Source organism: Homo sapiens, chromosome 17 (genome assembly GCF_000001405.40).
Source record: "Homo sapiens chromosome 17, GRCh38.p14 Primary Assembly".
NCBI classification, from domain to species: domain Eukaryota; kingdom Metazoa; phylum Chordata; class Mammalia; order Primates; family Hominidae; genus Homo; species Homo sapiens.
Window position 1 is genome coordinate 7,854,881 of NC_000017.11, and position 26,620 is coordinate 7,881,500.

Sequence of the window (26,620 nt, forward strand, 5' to 3'; positions counted from 1 at the left end):
CCTGGCGAGGGTGAGCCCCTCCCCGGAGGCGCCTGTGGAATGTCCAGGGCTCTGGTCCGCTCCTCGGGATGGGGGGTGCCTAATCCTAGAGCCGCATTCCAGGATAAGGGGGGTGGGGAGAGGCTGGGCCGGGGGAGGGGCAGGAAAGAGGGCTATAAGGGCAGCGGCCCAGGCGGGCGGGATCCAGGCGGGCCATGGCGGATGTCCCCGGGGCACAGCGAGCGGTTCCTGGTGACGGCCCAGAGCCCCGGGACCCCCTGGACTGTTGGGCCTGCGCTGTTCTTGTAACAGCCCAGAATCTGCTGGTGGCTGCCTTCAATCTTCTCCTGCTGGTGCTGGTGCTAGGGACCATCTTGCTACCCGCTGTCACCATGCTGGGCTTCGGCTTCCTCTGCCACTCTCAGGTGAGCGTGCGCCCCGGGGTGTGCGTGTGAGTGTGAGTGTTGGTGTGTGGTGATGCTGGCGGTGGGGTCTATGGGCCACAACTTCAACCCGCCTGGGCTGTTTCCACCCCGTGCACAGTATCGCCTGGTCGGCTTGGGCCTGACGCCTCTTCTCCCACAGTTCCTGCGCTCCCAGGCACCCCCTTGCACCGCGCACCTGCGGGACCCCGGTTTCACGGCCCTACTGGTCACCGGATTCCTGCTCCTCGTGCCGCTGCTCGTGCTTGCTCTGGCCAGCTACCGCCGCCTCTGCCTGCGCCTCCGCCTAGCCGATTGCCTCGTGCCCTACAGCCGAGCCCTTTATCGGCGTCGGCGCGCCCCGCAGCCGCGGCAAATCCGGGCCTCACCAGGGTCCCAGGCCGTTCCCACATCAGGAAAGGTCTGGGTCTAATGACCCTCGAGTCAAGAACAACCCTGACGGCTGCCCTCCCTCTTATTCGGCCCAAGGACTTGAAGCCCGGCATCTTCCGACCTGCCCTGCCCCCACCCCTGCCTGAGCGGAGTCCTAGCATCCCCTTGGGAGCAGCAGCGTCAGTGGACCCAGTGCTGAGAAAAGCCCCCACATCCCGGAAAACCCACTTTCCTTTCACGACCCACATCTCAATCCTGAACATCTAGGCTGGAACCTGCACACCTCCCCCTCAGCTCCGTCGTGAATGGGACAACAATCTCGTGCCCTCGTTTTATGGTGCAGCTTCTCTAGTATTTCTGGGGCTGGGGGGCGGGGCTGGAGGGGAAGGAGTGTCCACGCATCAATAAAGATTTAACGAACTGAACGCGCTCTGCGAACAGAGGCGTGGCACAAGTACTATCACCCCTGCCCTGTGCCGAGGAACAGGAAACATGTGCCAGGGCTACAAATGAGCAGAGAGGAGCATCCTTGAGCCCCCTGGCCTTATCGCTTTTGTCCGTTCTTCCTGGCCAGACCTCAGAGATCTGTTCCTGACCCCAGGCACCTCCCCCTCAATAGAGTGGAGGGGCCCAGCCTCGGCCGCCTGCCGCTGCTCCCCTTGGGGACCTGAGCCCGTTCTCTGACCCCAGCTTAGAGGAACTCGGTGTTGCCAGGCCGGGGTGGGAAACAATGGGCCTTCCGGAGCAGGATGACACCCCCTCCCGCCACAATTCTGGAGCAGCAGCCGTGGGAGGGAAGATGCAGGGGCCCACCCTGGGGCCTGTTGGTCCGTCATTCAGCCCTGCCCCCCATCTCTACCCCTGAACTTGAGAGAACCTTTGGCACCCCTGGACATCTTGGTTGGGAGAGGAGGGTTGAGGGTGCTCCCGACTTCAGATGAGCCCTTTCCTCTAGGGATGGGGTGTGCTATCCTGCACCGGCATCCCAGCTACACACAGACACAGGCCCATTCGGTCATAAGTTTAATGAAGTCTGAAAGGTAAGCGCCATCGTGGTCAGAGATACGGAGGCCCGGTCAGACTCTCCCTCTGCACCTCAATGGAAACGATGTGGTGTCCGGGTACCATGGCCAGGCCCAGCACACGGGGCTCCCCGGCAGAGAAGGAATCTGGAAAGAAGGATCAGAGCATCAGGAAAGTAGGCCAGAATCAGTCCCGCCCCTCTGAGCCACGAAAACGAGCCCCAGAAAACAAGGGTTGCAGCCAGGCCCTTAAGGGGAAATGCCTTGCGTAAGGTTCCGCCACATTACCAGGCGGGTGTGCATTCCCCGGGCACTGACCCGACGGCTTGAGGAACTCCTGCGCCGAGCCCAGGATGACATTGCAGTCACGGTCAGTGCAGAGGAAGCAGCCGACCAGTGTCCGTCCATCTGTCATGCGAATGCGCATAGTCTTGTTGAGCAGCGCCTCTAGCTGCTGTCGGGCGCGCTCAGCCGCCGAGTCCTCGCGCTCTCCGTCCGAATCCTGCGCGGGGTGTAACAAGCGCTCAGACCGCGCAGCCCAGGCTGCCCGCCCGCGGAACCACAGCTCCCGGCAGCCCGCGGGGCACTCACACAAAGCCCAGAGGCTGCCGGGAGCTGCAGTTCCCCACCCCCTCCATCTTGCTGCTTGACTGCCCCTCAGTCCCAGAACCAGAGCCCGTGCTAACCCCAGCACTGGAGCTGCTCTGACGCCGACTGCAACAGCCATTCTCTTCTCGTAGCAGCATGGTCGGTCCAGCTCCGGCCATTTGCCCGGAGGCCTCCTCTGGGCCTTTCAACTTCCTAAGCACCTTTCAGGTTGGGTGGTCCGAGATCTCGCGAGCGCTCCCGACCTCTTTCCTTTCGCGAGATCCCCTCTCCTCCCCCTCCTAGTCTCCTCGGCAACGGCACAGATCTCGCGAGCTTCTCCTACTTCTCTAGCGCTGTGGCTCACTGAAGCGTACTACGCCGGATGTCTTAAGATATCGCGAGACCTTTACCTCTGGTTTCTTACACATCCTTTAGAAACTGGAATTTAGCGAGAATACATTCTTTCATACTGCCTCCTCCCTTGTTTTTCTGTCTCAGAGAGATAGTCTGTCCTAAATATCCCATGTAGCCCAGGCCACTGAATTAAAACGGAGCGTATTCGTTCTCTGCCCCACCCCGCAACTCCTGAAAGCGGCGCAACTCAATTACTTGATCCTTATATGCCCCACGCGGGACTCATACTACGTTTCCCGTGAACACGTGCAGTCCAAACCCCGCCCCTGATATTTATCTCAGTGGACGGTGGCCGGAAAAGGACAATGGTTTCCATGTCAGCGGATAAACGCTCTCCCCTCGGCTCCCGGACGCGACGGAGGTCGTAGTAGTAGTGAGTACGTGCTGAGGAGCAAAGGAGTAACCAAGAGATCCAGTGACCGACAGAGCAAGAGCCATGCCGCGCCGGGGCCTGGTGGCTGGGCCAGACTTGGAGTATTTTCAGCGTCGCTATTTCACGCCGGCGGAGGTGGCCCAACATAACAGGCCCGAAGACCTCTGGGTATCTTACCTGGGACGCGTGTACGACCTAACGTCATTGGCACAGGAATACAAGGGTAAGGGCCACACGTTGGGCCGGGGCCGGAGTGTGTGTGTGTGCACGCGCGCGTTTGCCTGGTTCTCGAAGGGCTGGCATTGACAGTGGCTGTGCTGCTCTTTTCAAGGGAACCTGCTGCTGAAACCCATCGTGGAAGTTGCAGGCCAGGATATCAGCCACTGGTTTGATCCAAAGACCAGAGACGTGAGTTATGCTGGAACCTGGGATTGTGGGTAGAGGAAATGGAGAGCGGGGATGGGAAGGAAAGGCGGAGGCTAGCCAGAGCCTAATGGCTGCTCTGACACCCTCGCCCCAAACCCTCCTTTAAAGATCCGCAAGCACATAGATCCGCTGACCGGCTGCCTGAGGTACTGCACCCCGCGGGGCCGCTTTGTGCACGTTCCGCCTCAGCTGCCCTGTTCGGACTGGGCCAACGATTTTGGGAAGCCCTGGTGGCAGGGGTCGTATTATGAGGTGGGGCGGCTGTCTGCCAAGACCCGGAGCATCCGCATCATTAACACGCTCACGTCGCAGGAGCACACACTGGAGGTGAGAACTGGTGACAAGGAGCAGGTTAGAAGGAATGGGGAATCCCAGCAAATCTCCAGGCCGATCTTCAGGGCAACATTTTTTCCATAACCGGTGGGAGTGTATTTTCTGTCCTTTACATTGAGGCAACTGAGGAAAGCACAGCACCTAGGTCCCCAGGGTTGGGAATTCTAGGAGTGTCTGGGTCACAGGGGGACAAGAGACTCCTTTATAAGCCTGGGAACAGCAGTTCATGTATCTTAGTGATGGTGGTCCTTCGAAGCTCTTACACGCCGTTTTGGACAGCAATTGGACTTTCTTTTTAATCTACTCTGTTGCATGGATATAGTGAGGGGACAGTTGACCCTTTATGGCCATCCGGTAGTTAGAAGTGGCTGCCATTAAGATCTGTAGGACTTTAGGGTCTGCTCATTGCATGCTGGAGTTTCAGCTTTTTTTTCCCGGGGCCGTAGAGTACCTGAAGCTGCTATCTGCCAAGGGAGGCACTTTGATCCCAGCGTGTGTATATGTATACTCCATCCAGAATTCTGGGGGTGGGGTGCTTCTGTGTTCTCCAGGTGGGGGTTCTGGAGTCCATATGGGAAATCCTACACCGCTATCTCCCCTATAACTCACATGCTGCCAGCTACACGTGGAAATATGAAGGGAAGAACCTGAACATGGATTTTACCCTGGAAGAGAATGGGATCCGGGATGAGGAGGAAGAATTTGACTATCTCAGTATGGACGGTACACTTCACACACCTGCAATACTTCTGTACTTCAATGATGATCTCACGGAGTTGTAGGCAAGGAGATGTACACTCGTGTAGACTCAAGACGTATTTCGAGTTTGGCTTTTTCTGTGCCTTGAGGAAAAGTGGTGGGGCCGAGGGGTGCCTGGACCCAGATCTCCACTCCTCTCCAGGAGCTAGCCTGTGCCCTTCTGAAGTGTAAAGGCCCTATTCCCTGCCTTCATTACAGTTTGCTCTGAGAAAATTAGTGAATTAATCTTTGGGAATGATACAAGAAGATCAAGTACCTTGGTTTAGGGAGATGTAGAAGAGGATAGTCAGAGTTCAGGCAGAACTGTTTGATAGTTAAGAGAGAGTAGTTCTACAGGGGTGAGGGATGGAAGGACTTTTTTGGCAATGATGGAAATGAGATGTCTGCAGGAAGATGGGATTTACAAAGAAATAGGAAATGTTTATCATTGACCATACAAAGCTGGCTTATCTTACTTGTAGAAGAGTGTTTGGCAGCTGAAACCCAAGGGAAAGAAAGGAAGTGCGTCATTATAGGCAATTCAGGCTAGATATTATACTAGGTACTTCATATACCCTCTTTTTTTTTTTTGCCCCCAACAAAGAGAAGGGGTCTTGCTCTGTCACCCAGTCTGGAGTGCAGTGGCAAAATCATGGCTCACTGCAGCCTGGAGCTCCTGGGCACAAGTGATCCTCCCATCTCTGCCTTGAGTAGCTGGGACTTCAGGTGCACGCCACAATGCCTAATTTTTTAATTTTTTGTAGACACAGGGTCTCGCTGTGTTGCCCAGGCTGGTTTCAACCTCCTGGCCTCAAGTGATCCTCTTGCCTCAGCCTCCCAAATAGCCTCTTCAAGACAACTACCCCATAAGGTGGATTACCATTACTATGTTACAGATAAGTCCTTCGAAACTTTGGAAAGTTTAATAGCTCAAAGCCACACTAGGTAGTAACCACTAGAGCCAGAATGCAAATTCAAGTCTGCCCAACTCCAAAGTCCATGTTCTCTCAATATAAAGGGACCATCTCAATGTCTAATCTCATGTTAACATTTGTAGCCACTGCTCTCAGCAAGTATTTGGGATGTGGCTTTGTCCTAGGATCCCTGCACAATAGGAAATTGTGGTCCTATTGTATAGTTTGCAGTTATTGTCTCTGGAAGGGAGTTTGCAGAGTTCTCCTGTGGCGAAGAGGAGGCAAGGAAGGCTAAGTGTCAGTTAAGCAATAGCTATTGGGGCTACTTCTTTGTTAATCCCATACCCCAGATTTCTCTCCTGACCTTTTGGGGCAAAGAGGTGGGTATTTACTAACTTGAAGGAAAACTAGAGTGGGGAAAAGGCCGGCAAATTAGTGACACTTTGGCGAGGGAGAAAAAGGAGGCAGTTTGCCACTTGGAGAAGATGAGGAAGACAGGGTTGCAAGACGGTGACTCCAAAAGAGGGAGCTCGACAGGGGTAATGTAAACAGAGATGCTAACTAAGTCAGAAAACTCTCCTGGTGACCAAAAGAGAACCACTATTGGGGGTAATGGCTAGATTTGGTCTCCTTTAACTTAAGGAGGGGAGATTTGAGAATGACAGACAGTTGAACTTCCTGGCAGCAGCAAGCAAAAAACAAATCAGGAAGAGTTTAGTGTGTCTTCTGGCAGGGGACACCAGGGCCCAGCACAGGAGAAGGTGGCCCCTGTGAGATACTGGTGGGCTATATAGGCATTTTCTGAGGGGCTTTGGGAGGCATGAACAAAGGTGGAAACATTGCTGTTGGCTTCGGCAGTATCTGAATTTACTGTGAGATGGAGGGTTTAAATCTAACCCCATGGAATGCAGGAGTCCATGAATTATCTAAATCGATCATTTTGATCTTTAATCAACTCTGCAATTATGTGTACCTTGTTTGCTCAATTAAACCCTGAACTATTTGAGAATGAAAGCTATGCTGTTCCTCTAGTGCAAGCCTCAGGGCCTGTCCTGTGCCTACAGGATGTCCCCATTCTGCCAAAACCTGTCCCTCTTCCAGAGACTCCTACTTCAATGTCTCTTGCTAGAAACACATCCCTTTCCTCACACATCCAGTCACTCATCAAGTGTAATCTGTCTCCTAAATATCTCTGGAACCTATCTTCTTTTCTCCAAGTTACCATCACCTCTTGTCTAAACTGCTACGGAAACTTCCTAACCTGTTCTCCCATTTCCACTTCTGACTTCCATGCTGCAATGAGAGTCAGCTATGAAAAACAAACCTAAACATCGAACTTTCCTTAGCTTCTTCAGTGGCTTCCAACTGCTTTTGGAATAAAGTCCTAAATTCAAAGATCTTGTATAAATCAGGCTCATCTCGCAACACCCCTCTTTGTTCTCTATGGCCTAGACACACTGGCTTTCAGTTCATTACATGTCTTGCCTCAGACCCTCACACACTGTCCTCTCTGCCTGCAACACTCTTCCTTTCACTTTCCACCTAGCTGATCCTAAATGTTCCTTCCTCAGGGAGGTCTTTTCTGATTTCTTGGTGGGTCAAGACTTTCTGATAAATCAGTTAGCACCATGCATTTTCCAGAGTTTTTATTACAATTGTAAAATTATGGCTGTAATAGGCTGGCTGCGCTGCTAGATTGTAAGCTCACGAGGGCAGAGATCTTGTTCACATCTTGCTCACTGCTATATTCTCATTGCTGAGCACACAGTTGCAGCTCAATAAATTTTGAATGAACTCCAATGTTAAGTGAACTCATCCGTCTATACCTAGTGGGGGGGATGTTGTGTCCTAGTAGGCAAGGAAGGACCAAGAAATAGGATGTCTGGTTCCTGTGCTATAGTCTCTATCCATAGGATTCACTTTCCTTGCTTCCCCAATATCCAAAACCAAAAGTTATTCCATAGAGGGTCTCTGGCCAGGTGCAGTGACTCACGCCTGTAATCCCAGAACTTTGGGAGGCCGAGGCATGGGGATCACCTGAGGTCAGGAGTTCAAGACCAGCCTGGCCAACCTGGCAAAAGCCTGTTTCTACTAAAAATCCAAAAAATTAGCCGGGCGTGGTGGCACACACCTATAATCCCAGCTACTTGGGAGGCTGAGGCAGGAGAATCGCTTGAACCCGGGAGATGGAGGTTGCATTGAGCTGAGATAGTGCCATTGCACTCCAGCCTGGGCAACAAGAACGAAACTCCATCTAAAAAAAAAAAAAAAAAAGTTAAAAAAAAAAAAGAGGGTCTCACCAGATTTTTGGGGGCCAATCCATCTGTCATTTCCCCATATGGCCACCAGGTGGCTGTAATTACCTATAGAGTCAGGGAGACAAGCCTGGAGGGAAAACCCTTCCAAAGTTAGGATGGGAAGGTGGCCTTTGGAGATTTATAAGGGGGAGGGAAGGACAAGAAAACAAGGAAAAACCACATGGCCACCGTTCTATTAGCATTAGGTTTATGCCTGCTTTTTTTTCTCTCACAAGCACATGGCAGGAAAGGAGTGCAGTTAGGAATTCATGGGCTAGAACAAAAAGGAGGTCCTGATTACAGGTATGGGAGTGTATGGGGCAAAGTATGGAGCTGACAAAGGGATAAAGACATCACAAATTTTTAAAATAATAGAATGCATTCACTTATTAATACTTAAAAAAAATCTTTCCAGTAGGCACTGCTTTGTTCTCTAAATAGCCAAGTGGATATTTGCATGAGGAGTATGTAAATAATGCTTTAGCCTAAAACCCAGAAAGCAAACAGAACATGAGTGTAGGGTCCAAGTCCTCTTGTGGTAATCTCTTTTGTGTTAGAGGGTGGTGGGTGAAGGATGGAATGCTGAAGGGAAGGCTGCCGTCCTCAGTGAATCACAGCAGCTTCAAAGGACTCAACTGGCAAGATTTCCCACAGGTGAGGTCCCTACATGCCCACATTACTGGGGGTCATAAAGAGGCATATGTTCCTTGTAGGAAGCTTGCCTGCTCACTGGGATAAAGCATGCACACATGAAAAGATAAATGAACATAGTACATGATAAAGGCTTAAGTTATGGTATAGAAAAGTTTCTACCCTTACAGCAAGTCACAGGTGGATTACTAACCTGGCCATCCTGAAACTGTTTCTAAATACTCTGTGTGTGTGTGTCTGTGGATGTGTATTATTTTTGGAAAATGGTGCTATAATTTCCATCAGATTCTCCAAATAGCCCAACCCCCTACTCCTACTCCTGAAATAGCACGCACACACACACATACACAACAATACTTTAAACAGCCTCAAAAGTAAAATATCAAAAGTTATAATACAATGTGGTCCCAATATTCTGGCATCTGTCTCAATGGTCTGCCTCAGCCTGTGGCAGAACCATGGCAACCCATGGCAGAAATTCCTAAAGCTCTAACCTTTGGGGCTAAATTTATGACGAGTCTCAAGTGTTTTACTACTGTACCAAATGTTAATCTGGCTGTACCTTGGAGCTGAGTAAAGGGATCCATCATTTGGTCTTGATACTATAACATCCAATCATACATCACGATAAGGTTAATGCATCCAGCACCACAGCTAAGTTTAGGGAGGCCACATGGATGGGCTGCTGTTGGGAGAACAGCCACTTGATCATGGGTCAGTAGAGTACACGGTTTGGCTGTAAGAATGCACACAGAATTAGAAACCTGACTGATCTTTATCCTGGAAGCCAAAGATTAAGGATTCAAAAATACAAATGGATATGCACCCCAAGTACTAGGTATTCTAGGCACACCGGAAGCACTAAAAAGAAAAACCCAAAAAGCTGGTGAATGAATAAGTGAAGTGAATCCATCAAAGTGGGAATGGGAGTAAAGGCTTAAGTGCAGTGGTGTGATCATAGCTCACTGTAACCTCAAACTCCCGAGCTCAGACAATGCTCCTGCCTCAGAGTAGCACCACCATACCTGGCTAATTCTTTATTTTTTTGTAGAGACAGGGTCTTCCTATGTTGCCCAAGCCGGTCTCAAACTCCTCGCCTCAAGCAATCCTCCTGCCTAGGCCTCCCAAAGTGTTGGGATTATAAGTATGAGTCACCGTGCCTGGCCAATATTTTAAATAATTGTGTGCCTGGACTGGGTGTGGCAGCTCACGCCTGTAATCCCAGCACTTTGGGAGGCAGAAGGATCACTTGAGGCCAGGAGTTCAAGATAAGCCTGGCCAACACAGTGAAACCCTGTCTTTACTAAAAATACAAAAATTAGCCAGGTGTGGTGGCAAGTGCCTATAATCTCAGCTACTCGGGAGGCTGAGGCAAAATGGCTTCAAACCAGGAGGCGGAGGCTGCAGTGAGCCAAGATCACGCCACTGCACTCCAGCCTGGGCAACAGAGTGAGACTCCATCTCAAAAAAAAAAAAAAAAATTATGTGCATGAAGCAAAGTTTGTGTTAGGTACTTGTGTGTAGAATTTTCTACTTGTGGTATCATGTAGGCATGTAAAAGTTTCCGATTTAGGAGCATTTTGGGTGTTTGATTAGGGATGCTCAACCTGTACATACACATACCTATATATAAACATATTATGAATAGAGTGAAAGTACTATAAAGACACACAGAATCACGAGAGCGATGGCTGAATGATCAGAGGCATGTCTGAGGAGATGCTCACATGACTCATCTGTATTACCTGTAGAGCTGCATTTACCAACATTAATCCTCCCAACAAACTTAAGGCATAGGTACGATTTTTATTTATACTGAAAAACAACACTGAAGCAGAGAGAGATTAAGTAACTTGCCAAAAGTCATACAACTAATGAGTACCAAGGTAGTCATAGCCCATCCAACTAACATACCGCCTCCCTGCATGTCAAACATAGGATGCTATTCTAGTTACCTACCACTGCTGTATTTTGCCAATGAATCTGCAATATGGGTAGGGCTCAGCAGGGACAGCTCACTTCTACTCCCAAAGGGGTGGACTGTGGGGAGCTGGAGGATCCACTTTCAAGATGGCTGTCTCACATAGCTCTCAATGCTATCAGTTTTTCTCCACATGGGCCTCTACACAGGGCAGTTTGGGCTTCCTCACAGCATCCCAAGAGAACCAAGAGGAAGCTGAATCATATGACCTAGCCTCAATTCCAAGGGAAGGGAACTAGCTCCCACCTCTCACCGGGAAGAGTCTCGGAATTACACTGTAAGAAGAACATGTGGGATGTGAGACATAATTGTGGGCATATTTAGAAAATACAATCCACCAGAGATGCACTGGAGGTAAAAGGGGGGTATCCAGCCCAGTCTAGGGTGGAGTGGAGGGGTGGTCTTTGAAGGGTTGTGTGTAGGGGAGACAGGGCATTGATACTTGAGCCTTTCTTGAAAGCCTAGGTTGGAATCTTGGCCCTATCATTTATTCAATTCATTAAAATGATACTGAGCATCTGTCAGGCACAGTCCTGGAAACTGTGAATACAAAAATTAATGACACAGTTCCTGCCCTCTAGGAGCTTACAGTTTAATGGGAGACTCACGGAAGTTTGTGATTCTCTTAATTTGTCATCCTGCTTCCTTATTTACACAGTAGCCATGGGGAACTTTTTTTTTTTTTTTTTTTTTGAGACGGAGTCTCGCTCTGTTGCCCAGGCTGGAGTGCAGCGGCACGATCTCGGCTCACTGCAAGCTCCGCCTCCCGGGTTCACGCCATTCTCCTGCCTCAGCCTCCCGAGTAGCTGGGACTACAGATGCCCGCCACCAAGCCCGGCTAATTTTTTTTTTTTTTTTTTTTTTTTTTTGGTATTTTTAGTAGAGACGGGGTTTTACCGTGTTAGCCAGGATGGTCTTGATCTCCTGACCTCGTGATCCGCCCGCCTCGGCCTCCCAGAGTGCTGGAATTACAGGTGTGAGCCATTGCGCCCGGCCGCCACGGGGAACTTTTAAAGTTCCCATGTTAAAAGTCTTCAAAGGCAACCTACTTCTCTTAAGATGAACTTAGAAACCCTTACCATGGTCCAGAAGGTAAGATTTGGCTCTTTCAGGCTCTTCTTTGTCTCCCACGTTGGCCTTTCAGTTTCTGAAATGCCCCCCAAGCTTTGCATCAGAGCCTTCCTACATGCTGTTCCTCTGTGTGGAACAATCCACCCACCACTCTTCAGTTGGCCACCTGGCTCCTTAAAGTTGCTTAAATGACACTTTATCTGATACCTCCAGTTATGTCAAGTCCCTTAACACGCCCTCCCCAGGGTGTTCTGAAATGCCATAATTATAATTAAAATATTTAGTGTAATTCACTGTTTAATGTCCATTTTCTTCCCTTCTTAGACTGTAAGTACCATGGGGGCAGGGGCCACAGCTCTCATTTATGAAATACTCAGCCCTAGCCCAGTGCCCAGCCCAGAGCAGTCACTCAATAAATACAGAATGAACAAATATTTGGTGAATGCTACAAAAGAGCTAAGTATGAAACACACATCAGGAGAACCTAACCCAGTTCGGGGGGACCAAGCCTTCTGGGGAAGTATCATCTCAAGCTAAGATTTGAAGGACAAGGAGGAGTCAGTCAAGTGGGGAGGACAAGGGATAGGTGGAGGAGAGAATGGTTCCTGCACAGGATAAGTAGCAAATGCAAACGTAGATTGGAGAGTTTGGAGAGCTCGGAGGCAGAAGGAACTGTAGCATGGTAAAGCTAAGAGGAAAGCGGGAGGCGGGGGAGGGAAGCCAATGAGAGACGCTGAGCCAGACCAAATCATAGAAGGCTTTGTAAACCAGGTTAAGTTTTATTTTTTTTTAATTGAGACATAATTCACATACCATAATATTCACCCTTTTATAGTGTACAGAGTTAAGTGTTTTATGTTTTGTTTTGTTTTTGAGATGGAGTCTTGCTCTTGTTGCCCAGGCTGGAGTGCAATGGCATGATCTCGGCTCACTGCAACCTTCGCCTCCCAGGTTTAAGCAATTCTCCTGCCTCAGCCTCCCGAGTAGCTGGGATTACAGGCGTGCACCACCACACCCGGCTAATTTTTGTATTTTTAGTAGAGACGGGGTTTCACCATGTTGGCCAGGCTGGTCTTGAACTCCTGACAATCCACCCGTGTGGGCCTCCCACAGTGCTGGGATTACAGGTGTGAGCCACTGTACCTGGCCCAGAGTTAAGGGTTTTATAGAGAGAATCACATGATCAGATTTGCATTTTCAAAAGGTGACTTGACTACAATGTCAAGAGAGAAGGAAATGAGGGAGAGAAAGTGGAGACAGAGAGACCTGCCCTAATGCAGTAGTCCAGGTGAGATCCAAAGGCAGCCAGAACTAGGTTAGTGGCAGTGGAGATCGGAGATGAAATGAAGAGAGAATTGCAGGACTTGATAATTTGGGTAGGGGTCTAAGGCAAAGGGAGGAGTCAAGGATGACACCCGTGTCTGGCCTGGATGACTAGGAGGATGGTGAGTCCACTGGCAGAAAAAGGAACTGCTGGAAGAGGACTTTGGGAAGGAAAGTGATGAATTTTTAGTTAGCTGTATGAGGTAACTCGGGCAGGCAGGCACATGTCCAGATCTTGTTGGATATATAGGACTGGATCCTGAAAGACAGCTCTGGGCTAGAGTTATAGGTGTGGGAATTATTGGCAGATAGCAGCTGTAGCCAGTCAAGGATCAGATCCCCTTAAGGACGAAGTGCAATCTACAGAGGTTTGGGGAGGAGAAAAGGACACCACAAAGGAAGAGCTAGAGGGTGAAAGAGGCCAAGCAGGAAATGTTGCCACAGAAGCCAAAGAGAGAGCACAGAAGAGAGGGGAGCGGCCAACAGTATAAAGTGCTGCACAGAGGTCACGTAAGATGAAGACCTGAGCGACCATGGATTCAGCAAACAGCAGGTCATGGTGGCTTTGTTAGAGAAGCCAGGCTGCAGTTGGACAAGGTATGCATGGGATATTCTTAGAAGAAATCTAACTGCAGAAAGGAGGAGTGTTCTGGCTTTATAACCATGCACAGAATATTTAAATACCTTCCTTTGGATTCCATTTCTTCAACCATAAAATACAGATAATAGAAAGTAAGATGACAGTAGGGCAACAGGCAAGACCCAGGACATGGTACCCTAAAAAGATGCTACCTTATAGTGTTGTTGAGAAGATTAAATAAGGAATGGGAACCTGCCCAGCACTATAAAGAGTCCTTGGAAAAGACACTCAGAAAACCTTAGTTTTCTTTCCCATTCCTTGTGCTAGCCATTCTTTATTTAGTAATGAATCCTCCCCTCAGGATTTTGAGATTTGGCATTTTTCAGCATCCAGGTAACATCTCTCATGATTAGAAAATTACAGACCGTATCTGTGACTAACATTCAGTTTCCAACCTAACAATAGTGTTTATTCCTCCATTAGGAGAAGTTTTTGAGTCAAGTAAAATATGGTTTGTTTCATATCATGCCAGAATTGAGCTTCTTTATACAGTGATGGAAAGCAAGGGAATGGGGCCAACTACTGGGAGAAGAGTAACTAAAGTCAGTCCTTTGCTCCTAAAGGATTTTAAGGTGCTTAAGCTCGTAACTCAGGTTGTGAATCTTCTCACCTTGCAGTCATCTTAAGTGAACCTCTGAAGAGAGAAGTGGCTAACAGTAAACTTGATGGTTTAGAATGCAGCTACCAATTATCGAGTACCTTATTACAGCCAGTGCTTTATGTAAGTTAGCTCACTTAAACCTCACCACAACCCTTTGAGATAGGCATTAATACACCATTTTACAGATGGAGGAGCTGAGACTTGAGGGATAAATAGCTTGCCCAGGGTCATAGTTATTAAGTGGCAGAGCTTGGATTCCAGGTGCTACCTTTCTGACACCAAAGCTCAAACTCTTCCTCTAATGAAGTGAGTGGATAACTTTATTATTGACTCTGGGATACATTTTAGGAGTTCTACAGTTTTGGAATATAGAATAAGTTGATTTTTAATGTATTAATTATATCTCATTCAGTCTGAAATAAAAATGATGCTCAGTCGAGTGCGGTGGCTCATGCCTATAATCCCAGCACTTTCGGAGGCCGAGGCGGGTGGATCACTTCAGGTCAGGAGTTCAAGACCAGCCTGGCCAACATGGTGAAACCCTGTCTCTACTAAAAATATAAAAAATTAGCTGGGTGTGGTGGTGGATGCCTGTAATCCCAGCTACTTGGAAGGCTAAGGCAGGAGAATCGCTTCAACCCGGGAGGCAGAGGTTGCAGTGAGCCGAGATCACACCACTGCATTCCAGCCCGGGTGACAGAGCAAGACTCCGTCTCCAAAAAAAAGAAAAGAAAAAAAAATATTTTCCTTTACAGACTGGAGTGCTAGATGGTGAAAGGGCCCAAGAGCAAGTGAAGGGGTAAGAGGAAGCCAGTGTGGGTTAGCATTTCCCATGACAAATTTATAACCTAAAGGATAGTTAATCAGCTGGGAAAAGTGTGCAATTCTGCTGGAACAACTGGGGCTTGAAAACAGATGAAAAGCAAGATACTTCTAGCTGGCCAGCCAACAGAAAACTATTAAGAAATTGTTAAAAAGCAATGTCAAATGGGAAAAAGTTTGGTTTTTGCCATTTTGTATAGGATTATTCAGTTTCCATCACAGTGGTCAATCGAAGAAGATCTACAGCTGGGCATGGTGGCCCCTGTGCTTGTAACCCCAGCTACTCCAGAAGCTGAGGTGGGAGGATTGCTTGAGCCTGGGAGGCAGTTACTGCAGTGAGCTGAGATCATGCCACTGCACTCCAGCCTGGGTGACAGAGGAAGACTCTGTCTTAAAAATAAAATAAAATAAAATAAATTTTTAAAAGCAGATCTAAAAAACTTGCAGAAGGCAAAGACAACAATTACAACAATTTTAGGCTTACATCTTCCTCCTTCTGATTAAGATGATATTCCTTACTCAGTGAGAGCAAGGAAATGGATTTAGCTAAAAGGCAGCAATAGAAGGATGAGCAGACCAGATAAAATCTTTTAATCAATTAAAAAACAAAAAATCTTTTAATCGAAAAGATATATTGCAGTATTTGGGTTCTTTATTAGGTACTGGAGGTACAGAGAACTATTCCATAGCTCAGAAGTTGAGTTACTTCTATTTTAAAATTTATTTATTTTGGCCAGGCACGGTGGCTCACGCCTGTAATCCCAGCACTCTGGGTGGCCGAGGTGGGCAGATCACCTGAGGTCAGGAGTTCAAGACCAGCCTGGCCAACATGGTGAAACCCGGTCTCTACTAAAAAAAATACACAAAAATTAGCCCAGTGCAGTGGTGCACGCCTGTAATCCCAGCTACTCGGGAGGCTGAGGCAGGAGAATTGCTTGAACCTGGGAGGTGGAGGTTTCGGTGAGCCGAGATCGTGTCACTACACTCCAGCTTGGGGGCGACAGAGCAAGACTCCACCTCAAAAAAAAAAAAAAAAATTGTAGAAACGGGGTCTCACTATGTTGCCCAGGCTGATCTTGAACTCCTGGGCTCAAGTGATCCACCCACCCCAGCTTCCCAAAGTGTGGAGATTACAGGTGTGAACCACCACACCCAACCAGAAATTATTTTTCTAAAAAGATGCCACACCATCATATCGAGCTAAGCACATCTAGAAACAAATTCATTATGGCCTCTTAAAGCCAGCTTCTTTCTCAATTGCTATTAACAATGTCCAATTCTTGAGCCATCACATCATCTAATTTTCTTTTTTCAGGTCTACTGTGGTCCATGAGTTTAGGCATAAATGCCCACCTCTCAATAGCTCTGACCTTGAGCAAGATATTTAACCTCCCTTTGTCTGTTTTCTCATCTGTAAAATGAGTATTAGGATACTTTCTACTTTATAAGGTTATTGAAAGGAGTGAGTGAGTTAGTACATATTAAGTACTTAGTTCCTGGATGCAGAGTAAAACTCAATAAAAGTCAGCAATCATCATCCTATTGTTCATCTTTTGTACATATACTTTACTACTTTTGTATTTTTTTTCTATTGGTCTTTTTCTTATTGTTGATTTCTATGACATCTTTATTTCATCAAGAATACAAACACTAGCTCGCTATCTTCCTTTATACCCCCTTACTCCTGCTGTAATACAATACTGGAGTAATCCTGGAGCCAGTACCCGACCCCAGCAGCTTCTTGATCACTGAAGAAATAGGAAGTAGATCTCTGGTGGGCCAGGTCTAAAACGTTCTTCTTTCTTTGAGGTGGAGTCACTCTGTCGCCCAGGCTGGAGTGCAGTGGTGCAATCTTGGCTCATTGCAACCTCCGCCTCCCGAGTTCAAGCAATTCTCCTGCCTCAGCTTTCCGAGTAGCTGGGAATACAAGCACGCACCATGATGCCTGGCTATTTTTTGTATTTTTAGTAGTGATGGGGTTTCACCACGTTGGCCAGGCTGGTCTCGAACTCCTGACCTCAAGTGACCCACCCACCTCGGCTTCCCAAAGTGCTGGGATGGCAGGCGTGAGCCACCAAGCCTGTCCTTACAATCTTCTTGTCACTCTGGAAACCCTGTCTGTAGTTCTTCTTTGGCCCTTCCAATAATTTTGTAAGCCCTGGTTTCCTGGATAAAGTATCTTTCTGAGCTAGAGTAGTTTCTGTTATCTCTGAGCTCTATTAGAGCACACAGTATTTACTGAATAAAATGGTCTGTCATTAATGGCACAAATATTTTCCTAGCTAGTCTTTTAACTTTATGTTTTCTTACACAGTAAAATTTAGTTTCATTGAGTTAAATCTATCCACGTTTTCCTTTAAAGCATCCACGTTGATGCTTGTTGTACGCTTAAGGCCTTTTTCACCCCCAAGATCAGGAAAATATTCACCCACACTTTTTATATCTCATTCTAGTTCTCTAAAAAATTTTTTGGTCTTGCTGAATTGAGCAGAATTACATTTTTTGTTTTGTTTTGTTTTTTGAGACGGAGTCGCTCTGTTGCCCAGGCTGGAGTGCAGTGGCACAATCTTGGCTCACTGCAACCTCCGCGTTCAGGTGATTCTCCTGCCTTAGCCTCCTGAGTAGCTGGGATTGCAGGCATGCGCCACCACGCCCGGCTAATTTTTGTATTTTTAATAGAGACGGGGTTTCACCATGTCGGTCAGGCTGGTCTTGAACTCCTGACCTTGTGATCCGCCCACCTCGGCCTCGCAAAGTGCTGGGATTATAGGCCTGAGCCGCTGTGCCCGGGCAATTTTTGTTTTTAATGTCACTATTTAATCCATCTGAAAACTACTTTAGTAAATGGTAAGGATCTACCTTTTATATTTTCACAAATAGTTTTCCATTTATCAATTATGCATCATTATTTATCAATAATCCTTTGCCCCACTGATTTAAAGTATCACCTTTGCCATATATTAAACACTTGAAGCAGTCAACAGGTATTTCCAGGGTGCCTAATGTGTGCCTGGCCGTGTGCTAGACTGATACGACAGTGGAGAAGGGTGACAGGGCCCCTCCTCTCTGGAGCCTAATGAGAAAGATAAAGGATAATATGGTAGCACATAGGAGGAGCACCTATTATAAGCTTGGAGAGTCAGGGGAGTTTAGTGCATGCCTGCTTACTGTGTGTCAAACACAGTACTAACGACCTTAAAAGGGTAATTCCATTGACTTGGTAATATTAGGGCTTCACAAAAAGACTTATATGTTGCCATTTTAGTTGAAGAAACTGAAACTCTGAGAAGTGGAAGCCGCATATGAACCCAGACCTGTCTCCCAAGCCCAGGTTCTTAAGTACCATGGCTGACCACTAATCCAGACAGCACTGCCTCTTTGAACAGGGACTGACAAGGAGGAGCCAGAGAGGCAAGGGAAAAACCAGGAATGCGAAACTACAGACGTCAAGCAAATTCTTTTTTTCAAAAAGGGGGTGGTCAAGTGAAGAACTAAGAACATCCTCTGATTTTCAGCAACCAGGAGGTTGTTGGTAATTTGGTGAAAGCAGCTGTGGTGGGGGCAGAGGGCTGGAAAATGAGTAGGGAAGTAGACACTGAGGGCAGTTAATGCTTTCAAGAGGCTTGGCTGTGAATGGACACAGTGCGGTAAGGTGGCAGCTAAAGGGGTCCAGAGTATTTCTTTCAAAGATAAGGAGATTTGAGCACATTTTAATGTGACTGGGAAAGAGCAAGTGGAATCGGAAATAAAGGACTGAGTTAGAGGATCGCTGCTAACCATTAGTCCCTGAGAAGGTGGCAGGGGTGAGACTAAGAGCCCAAGTATAGGCATTAGCTTCAGACAGGACAGGAGGACAGGATAAAAGGACAAATATGGATAGAGTTAAACATGTAGTTGAGTATTGGAATTTCAAGGGAGTTCTCATATGATAATCTATCTCCTGGAAGTAGATAAGATTTTCTATCCATTATGATATTAAAATGAACATAGGTATCCTTTTCTTTAAAATGAACTAGTGTAAGGAGAAGGTTTTGAGGAAGTCACTGTGGAGAACTAAAAGAAAGCTGACTAGGAAAAAGGATTCCTGAACAGAAACACTGGTCTGAATGGTCATGGTGTTTTCTTCAGCAGCCCTTTGCATCCTGGGTGTAAACAAGCAACCAAAGTGATACAAGGCCAGGGGTTTGCAGGAAGGAAAATAAGAAGAGGGCACCAAGACAGTGGCAGGAGCATGGTTAAAATGATAGACCATGGAACTTAAGCTGGATAGGAAAAGAGGTGAAGATGGTATAGCTGATTAGGAGAAAATGAGGAGCTAAGGGACTACATTGTCTCATGGTGGGTCCAAGAACAGAGTAGAAGTAAATGAGGGGGCTAGAAGGATAGAAAGTTGTGGCCCAAGTTGGGGGTTTGAATTTAATACTTCAAAAGGAAGTCCAGAGATGGGGCCAGAAGTGGGATGGCTAGAAAGGTCTCTGGAAATAAGGGGATCAAGGGACCAAAAAGTCTGGGTGATGAATAGATCATTCATGTGGATCCTAAGGTCACCCAAGATGATGGCAGGACTAAGCCAGATGTCAGTCTTCAATGAATGAAGGAAATGTCAGGAGATAAGTAGAAAACACTGAGGAAGAGAAGGTAAGGAGCACACAGCAAGACTGCTGCAGCCTTAAAGAAATAGGGGCTTCTTACACAAGATGAGGGAATCTGGAGGCAACAGTAGAGATAAAGAATTAGCCAGGTGCAGTGGCTCACACCTGTAATCCCAGCACTTTGGGAGGCCAAGGTGGGTGGATCACTTGAGGTCAGGAGTTTGAGACCAGCCTGGCCAACATGGTGAAACCCCATCTCTACTAAAAATACAAAAATTAGCTGGGTGTGGTGGCGGGCGCCTGTAATCCTAGCTACCTAGGAGGCTGAGGCAGGAGAATCGCTTGAACCAGGAGGTGGAGGTTGCAGTGAACCAAGATTGTGCCACTGCACTCCAGCCTCGGCAATAAGAGCAAAACTCCATCTCAAAAAAAAAAAAAAAAAAAAAAAATTAGGTCGGGTGTGGTGGCTCACACCTGTAATCCCAACACTTCAGAAGGCCACTGGTGGGAGGATCGCTTGAGGCCAAGAGTTTAAGACCAATTTGAACGACACAGCGAGATCCCATCTCTACAAAAAATTTTAAAACTATCCGGTTGTGGTGGTGTGTGCCTGTAGTCCAGCTACTTGGGAGGATGAGGGAGGAGGAAAGCTTGAGCCTAGGAGTTCGAGGCTGCAGTGAGCTGTGATCACGCCACTGCACTCCAGCCTGGGTGACAAAGCAAGACCCTGTCTCTAAAACAAAACAAAACAAAACAAAAAACCCTCCATAAGTAATATTTTAATGGTTTCTCACAATCTTTAATTGATATTTAACTTCCTCACTAAAACTGGCTTTAAAGGTGACCAAATGACAAGTACAATACTTTTCTTGGTTTGTACTGTTTTTTTTTTAGAGACAGAGTCTCACTGTGTTGCCCAGGCTGCAGTGCAGTGGTGTAATCATAGCTCACTGCAGGCTCCAGCTCCTGGGCTGAGCTCTCCTCCTGCTTCAGTTTCCTGAGTAGGTAGGACTACAGGCATGAGCCACCATGCCTGGCTAATTTTTAAACTTTTTTTGTAGAGATAGTCTTGCTATGTTGCTCAGGCTGGTCTTAAACTCCTGGCCTCAAGCGATCCTCCTCTCTTGGCCTCCCAAAGTGCACTGGGATTACAGGTGTGAGTCACTGTATTGGCTGGTTTGTATTAAAAAGAAATTCAGATAGAATTAATATACCTTATTCACCATTTTAAAGTGAATTCAGGGGTTTTTAGTATATTCACAAGGCTGTGCAACTATCACCATTATCCAGAATTCCAGACATTTCCATCACCCCCAAAAGAAACCCCATATCCATTAGCAGTCCCTCCCATTCTTCCCTTCCCTGAAACCTGCACAACCACAGATCTACTAGTTGCCTATTCTGGACATTTCATATAAATGGCATCAAATAATATGTGGCCTTTTATGTCTAACTTCTCTTACTTAGCATAATGTTTTCAAAGTTCATCCATCTTATAGCATGTATCAGTATTCCATTCCTTTTTACGGCTGAATAATATTCCATTGTATGGATATACTATATTTATCCATTCATCAGTTGATGGATATTTTTGTTTACACTTTTTGGCTATTATGAATAATGCTTCTATGAATATTCATGCACAACTTTATGTGTGGACATATGATTCAATTATCTTGGGTGTACACTTAGTATTGAAATTGCAAGGTCATATGGTAGCTCTATATTTAACTTTTTGAGGAACTGTCAGTTTGTACTCTTCTTGATTCCCACGAAGCATCTAGTATCAATGATCATGCCTTCCTTCTGAAGCTGTCTGCCTACTCTACCATAACAACACTACCTGGTACACTTAACACTTGAACAACTTGTTTTTCTTTGGCTACTCCATCCTTCAAAGTTCCCCCAAGGTTCTGACCTCTACTCTTCACTTGATATACTAAAATTCTTACCCTTTAAAGAGGTACTAACTCCTACTATAACCTATCATGAACTTACCACTCCAGCCATATGAGGTCTACATACTACCTACTAAATTCTTTCTTATCCCACCTAAACTGCCCTTTTACTTCCTCTTTGCTATACAAATCTCAGTTATTTGGGAGCTAACCTCAAATGCAACTACATATGAAAGTTATTTACTTGCTTCCCCCCTCCCAACCAAGAAAGAGCTTTCTTCTCTGAATGCTGATTTTACAGCCCATAACCATCATCACAATCATATACTGCTACTTAGGTTTTTATATCTGTTTTAAGTCTTTATCTCAAAAAATGTCCCTCCTCCCTTCACCTAGTCAATCTCTTGATCACTAAAAAATTTTCAAATTGCTTTATAAGATGTACAATTAAAAAATAATTTCCCCTTCCCAGTGGCAACTACTGTGGTTTCCTGTATATTCTTCCAGGAATATTCTATGGATATTCACATATTTTTTTCTTTCATAAATGTTACCATGTTATATATGCTCTTCTGTACTTTCCCTTTTTCCCTCTCATATTTTAATTATTCTTTAAAGTGGAACCTCACTAATGTTTTAAAAACCCTAACTACATTACATCTACTGATTGTACTTTGCTTACACATTTTTCACTTCAAAGAACCAGAGATTCATGAGGAATTATTTCTTTAGAGAAGTCATACTACTTTTTATCCCATTTGGCTCCAGTTGCTAACGTAATCAATGAAGCTACTTAATTTTGTTTACATAAATAATAAATACTTTCTCATTGTAAAAATTCAGAATTATCAATGAAGCAAACAATCCCCCTTGACTATTTTTTCCTGAAAGTAACCAATGTTACCAGTTTGGTATGTACACTTCCAGCATTTTTAAAAGCATTTAAATCCAAATAAATGTATCAGTAAAAATATTATTGTTTTAATTTCTTTAAACATAAACTAAATGATGTCATTTTTTTTTTTTTTACAAGTTGCTTGTTTCCATTCAACAATATATTAACCATGTCTCTACATACAGAAGTAACTCATTTTTCTTTTTTCTTTTTCTTTTTAATGGCCTGCGACACAGCCCCAGGAAATCCTGAGAACATGTGCCCCAGTAACTCCTTTTTCTTAACTGCTGTGTAGTTTGTTTAGCTATTCCTTACTGTTGGAGATTTAGGGTGTTTCCAGTTTTTTGCTGTTACAAACAGTGTTGTAATGAATAGCTCTGTAATGTCACCCTATGCATAAGTATGGTGACTGTTTCTCTATAATAAATGGTGAGAAGTGGAACTCTGTGTCAAAAAACACTAAGTTTATAAGTATAACACATACTATTAAATTGGCCTTGCTAGTTTTGTGGCATAGTTGTTATAGTTAATAACAGTAATATATGTGACCATCAGTTTCACATATTAGTGTCCTTTAAAACTCTAGGACATCTCATTGACTTAAAACTCATGTAGTATATAGTAGAAGAACACTAGATTGGAAACCGAAAGATAAAAGTTCAAGTCCTGGTTCTGTCTCTAACTACTAACTTGATCTTAGGTAATCCTTTCAATATCTAGGCCCCAGTTTCTATACCTATAAAATTAGATTAAAGTGATATTTTCTAAAATATGTACCTATATTATTAGTAGCATGCAAGATGCTTTTACTTTTATTGATTTTTATTTTAACAATATTGCATTTTAAATTAGAAAGAAAAACATAATTACAGTATCAAATTAAAGACTTATGAATATTATTTCTAGCAATATAAAATTTACCTTTTAAAGAACATTCATTTAAGTTAAAGAAAGGTGAGTGATTTAAAGAAAAATAGTATGCATATAATGGTATAGCTGATATATAGATATGGCAAATCATGAATATGATATATGAAGGACTGAAGTTTCCTCCTTGATAAAATCAAGAACAGGTTAGATTAAAGCAGTAAATCCTAGACTTTTAGATTTTAATGATCAATAAAATGTAAAAAAAAAAAAAGTTAGTGATCAACATGGGGTTGCTGACTTTTCATTGTGCTGAGTAAGGACATTAAGAACAACAAAATTCATAATCTCAGCACTGTGGGAGGCCGAGGCAGGTGGATCACCTGAGGTCAGGAGCTCGAGACCAGCCTGGCCAACATGGTAAAACCCCGCCTCTGCTAGAAATCCAAAAAATTAGCCGGGTGTGGTGGTGGCACGCGCCTGTAATCCCAGCTACTCGGGAGGCTGAGGCAGGAGAATGGCTGAAACCCGGGAGGCAGAGGTTGCAGTGAGCTGAGATCGCGCCATTGCACTACAGTCTGGGCAACAAGGATGAAACTACGTCTCATAAAAAGATATTTAAAATTATTTAAAATGTTGTATAATTATAAAAGAAGTACATGTTGAAAATTTTCAGATTGTACAGTAAGTATAAAAAGTCATTTTCTTATTCTTTTCCTCCCCCTTCCCCACTAAAATCTACTCACATTCTGCCATACAGATCTATCTCAGCTTTAGAAAGGAAGTTTTTAACATTATAAATATGTATATGTGTATATATGTTTAATAATATGTAACATAATTTATAACATAAAATATAAGCATATATACATATATTTATCCTATATAAATATACTGTATACTATATTTATTCTATGTAAAAATATATATCAGAAATATATCCTCTCAGAATAAAGGACAGACTTTTCCAGTAAAGGACATGTGGCAACCTTTCTTAGCCATTTGAGAACCACTGATTTATAAGACCTTCCATCTCTAAAATACTATGATTAGGTCTAGACTATCCTGAGTATTTACATGCCTTTCATTATTATCACTGACCTACATATTTCAAAAGACAATTAGGAATCTCTTTAACATATCCTTGGGTAGAAAATCATAGATTGCAAGTGTTTTTTCAGTCTTTTACTCTGCTTGTTGTATGAGTACATGTCTGTGCTCTATCACTGATTATCACTGGTTCCCTACATCAGAGTTTTAACCTGGGGTCCAAGACTTCAGGGTATTCGTAACACCGTGAAAACATATGTGACATTTTGTGTGTATTTTTTTTTTCTGGAGAAAGTTTCTAACTTTCTACGATCCTAAAAGGTTAGAAATTATTGCTTTAGATATGTTTCTTGCTTTTGCGTTAAATAATCTTATTCTTGGCTTGAGAGTCCCTTAAAAATTTTTCTTCATTTGCATTTCACAGCTGAATATTTGAGTTCTTTGTTCTCACCTTAATAGTCTTCTCATTAAAACAAAAAAAATATTCTCCTGTACCCATTAATCATAAGGAATTTAAATTTTTTATTTAATTTTTATTTTTTGAAGTACTGAAAGACAGAAGAAGGCAGAGACTGATGCCCCACAATGAAAGTGACAGGCAGGGAGACAAGCAGCTAGACAGTGAGACACACAGGCATAGATAAAAGGCCTAACGACAGAGAGACTACACAGGCAAAAGAAATATAGAGAAACCTGGAAACACAGAAGGAGAGATGCAAGAACTGAGCAGACAGAGAAGAGGGATGGCAGAAAAATAGGCTGGCAGGGAGGGAATGGAGATTGACTGACAGAGAAGGCAGGCAAAATCACCAAAAGGGATGCAGACAGGCAAACAGAGAGAGAGAGAAAGAGAGAAGAAGGGAAGACAGATAAAGGAAGAAAAAATAAGGTAAGAAGGAAGACAAAGTGATAATGGTGTTTTATACAACATAGTGCTTTATAATTTATAAAGTGCTATCACATACATTACTGCAGGCAGACAGGGAGAATCCAGCAGACAGATGGGGTGATGGAAGGATACAGGCCAATCAGACAGAAGAGAGGGGAGAGGGCCAATCAGAAAAAGAGGCTAGAATAGAGATCAAGACAGACAGATAAGAAGAAAGAACCAAGAAAAGAGAAGTAAGAGAGGGAAAGAGGGAAAGAGTGGAGAGACACAAAGATAGAGGCTGAAACAGTTAAACTCAGGAAAACAGGCAGTAAAAAAGCAGAAATGAAAGAACAGTGCATTGTGTGTAGAAGTTTTATTATCATCTTTTTCAAAGAGACCTGGTTAGAGGTTGTGTCTTTGTCTCCTTCAAAGAGTTATAAAATGTCTCTAAGGTGGCATGTGAGTGGAGCCAGAAGGCTTTAATCAGGAGAAAGCTTTTTAGACTAGGAGGAAGACAAACTTCTTAGGCCTAGGTCGACAACCTAAAGGATCTGGATTCACATGACCTTACAGAATTCATATAGACTAAGTGAGAAAGCAGGGCAGTCCTCTACCTACTCTGTGTGCATGTAAGCTCAGCTTACTGTTACTTATTAACAGTGCCTATATTTATAGGGTACTTTTTAGTACTACCGGTGCTTTCATGCCTTCTCCAATACACATTTCAGTGATGAAGCGACCAACAAAGATGTCTTGCTGGCATCAGACCACTTACCATGCAGAGTAGACTACATTTGGAGAGAGTAAAGCCTTCCTGAGCACTCCTCAAGTACTGGTAGTGAACGCATGCAACCAGTAACTAGTCAATCCAAAAGACACGTGCTTTGGGTAACACTTGGTAGAATCAAAAAGACCAGAGATGGCAAGCCCAGCCAAGTTAGTTAGGAGTACTGACAGACTGACAGAGGAAGGAGCATCCAGAAAAACTGGAAGAAAAGTAGGGAGGAGTACAGCAAAACACAAGCAAAAGCAAGCAAGCAAAAAGACTTGTATATGTGTAGACTTTTCTCTGGAGCAGTATCCAGGAAATGTGAAACAGTGGCTGCTTCTGAGGAGAGGAACTCCGGGACTAGGGGAGAAGGATGGGAGACAGGTTTACTTTTCACAGTACACTTTCTGTACTTTTAAAATGTTGTACCATAAGTATGTACTACCTATTTAGAAGTTAACTGGAAAAAGAAACAAAAGAAGAGAGAAAAGCAAGAAGAGACGTGGACAGCAAGAGCCTGCCAAGCAGACAGCAAAAAGGCAGGAAGGCAGCGAGAGACTGGGAAAATGGCAAAAAGACTGAGACAGGCAGACTGTCTGAGGAACCAGAAAGACAGAAAAAGAGATAACTGAAATAAAGGCAAACGTGAGAGAAGGCAGGGTAGGGGATGTGGCAAGAAGTTAGATAAGA

At 44.9% G+C, this 26,620-nt stretch overlaps 3 protein-coding genes across 9 annotated transcripts in view, besides 8 other annotated features; 2 read left to right on the forward strand and 1 right to left on the reverse strand.

Moving 5' to 3' along the window:
• TMEM88 (transmembrane protein 88) lies at nucleotides 186–1,219 on the forward strand. Of its 3 annotated transcripts, none has more exons than XM_005256856.4 (2): nucleotides 186–404; nucleotides 523–1,219. In XM_005256856.4, the coding sequence occupies exons 1-2, from the start codon at nucleotides 195–197 to the stop codon at nucleotides 832–834; spliced, it is 522 nt and encodes a 173-aa protein (XP_005256913.1). In that variant the 5' UTR covers nucleotides 186–194; the 3' UTR covers nucleotides 835–1,219. The 3 variants fall into 3 exon arrangements, with proteins under 3 accessions (XP_005256913.1, NP_981956.1, NP_001306870.1); NM_203411.2 differs by having other exon boundaries at nucleotides 565–1,219; NM_001319941.1 differs by having other exon boundaries at nucleotides 891–1,219.
• Nucleotides 1,105–1,642: an enhancer, noted in NCBI's record as "H3K4me1 hESC enhancer chr17:7759303-7759840 (GRCh37/hg19 assembly coordinates)". NCBI's record gives its function as "activates a minimal SCP1, AML or CMV promoter by ChIP-STARR-seq in primed H9 embryonic stem cells {active_cell/tissue: H9 hESC(primed)}" and the evidence as "EXISTENCE:reporter gene assay evidence [ECO:0000049][PMID:30033119]".
• Nucleotides 1,764–1,843: an enhancer, noted in NCBI's record as "active region_11650". NCBI's record gives its function as "activates an Ori minimal core promoter by ATAC-STARR-seq in GM12878 lymphoblastoid cells {active_cell/tissue: GM12878}" and the evidence as "EXISTENCE:reporter gene assay evidence [ECO:0000049][PMID:35858748]".
• Nucleotides 1,805–26,620, reverse strand: part of NAA38 (N-alpha-acetyltransferase 38, NatC auxiliary subunit) — a 28,736-nt gene continuing 3,920 nt past the window's right edge. The window contains exons 3-5 of one of the 4 annotated variants that reach the window (NM_001330111.2): nucleotides 11,611–11,678; nucleotides 2,135–2,318; nucleotides 1,805–1,963 (exon numbers count right to left, since the gene is read on the reverse strand). In NM_001330111.2, coding sequence (NP_001317040.1) covers nucleotides 1,851–1,963; nucleotides 2,135–2,318; nucleotides 11,611–11,613 — 300 coding nt within the window. In that variant the 5' untranslated portion in view covers nucleotides 11,614–11,678 and the 3' untranslated portion in view covers nucleotides 1,805–1,850. Of the gene's footprint in view, nucleotides 1,964–2,104; nucleotides 2,680–11,610; nucleotides 11,679–26,620 lie in introns of those variants that run through there. The other 3 variants (NM_001320925.4, NM_001320924.3, NM_032356.6) reach the window with 3 other exon arrangements.
• Nucleotides 2,376–3,238: an enhancer, noted in NCBI's record as "H3K27ac hESC enhancer chr17:7760574-7761436 (GRCh37/hg19 assembly coordinates)". NCBI's record gives its function as "activates a minimal SCP1, AML or CMV promoter by ChIP-STARR-seq in naive H9 embryonic stem cells {active_cell/tissue: H9 hESC(naive)}" and the evidence as "EXISTENCE:reporter gene assay evidence [ECO:0000049][PMID:30033119]".
• Nucleotides 2,494–2,863: an enhancer, noted in NCBI's record as "active region_11651". NCBI's record gives its function as "activates an Ori minimal core promoter by ATAC-STARR-seq in GM12878 lymphoblastoid cells {active_cell/tissue: GM12878}" and the evidence as "EXISTENCE:reporter gene assay evidence [ECO:0000049][PMID:35858748]".
• Nucleotides 2,591–2,885: an enhancer, noted in NCBI's record as "tiled region #4002; HepG2 Activating DNase unmatched - State 1:Tss, and K562 Activating DNase matched - State 1:Tss". NCBI's record gives its function as "activates a minimal TATA promoter and a strong SV40 promoter by Sharpr-MPRA in HepG2 and K562 cells {active_cell/tissue: HepG2 | K562}" and the evidence as "EXISTENCE:reporter gene assay evidence [ECO:0000049][PMID:27701403]".
• Nucleotides 3,123–7,402, forward strand: CYB5D1 (cytochrome b5 domain containing 1). Of its 2 annotated transcripts, none has more exons than NM_144607.6 (4): nucleotides 3,123–3,414; nucleotides 3,523–3,599; nucleotides 3,726–3,944; nucleotides 4,502–7,402. In NM_144607.6, the coding sequence occupies exons 1-4, from the start codon at nucleotides 3,255–3,257 to the stop codon at nucleotides 4,730–4,732; spliced, it is 687 nt and encodes a 228-aa protein (NP_653208.2). In that variant the 5' UTR covers nucleotides 3,123–3,254; the 3' UTR covers nucleotides 4,733–7,402. The 2 variants fall into 2 exon arrangements, with proteins under 2 accessions (NP_653208.2, NP_001317039.1); NM_001330110.2 differs by having other exon boundaries at nucleotides 4,570–7,402.
• Nucleotides 3,214–3,433: an enhancer, noted in NCBI's record as "active region_11652". NCBI's record gives its function as "activates an Ori minimal core promoter by ATAC-STARR-seq in GM12878 lymphoblastoid cells {active_cell/tissue: GM12878}" and the evidence as "EXISTENCE:reporter gene assay evidence [ECO:0000049][PMID:35858748]".
• Nucleotides 3,214–4,100: a biological region, named in NCBI's record as "H3K27ac hESC enhancer GRCh37_chr17:7761437-7762298".
• Nucleotides 3,239–4,100: an enhancer, noted in NCBI's record as "H3K27ac hESC enhancer chr17:7761437-7762298 (GRCh37/hg19 assembly coordinates)". NCBI's record gives its function as "activates a minimal SCP1, AML or CMV promoter by ChIP-STARR-seq in naive H9 embryonic stem cells {active_cell/tissue: H9 hESC(naive)}" and the evidence as "EXISTENCE:reporter gene assay evidence [ECO:0000049][PMID:30033119]".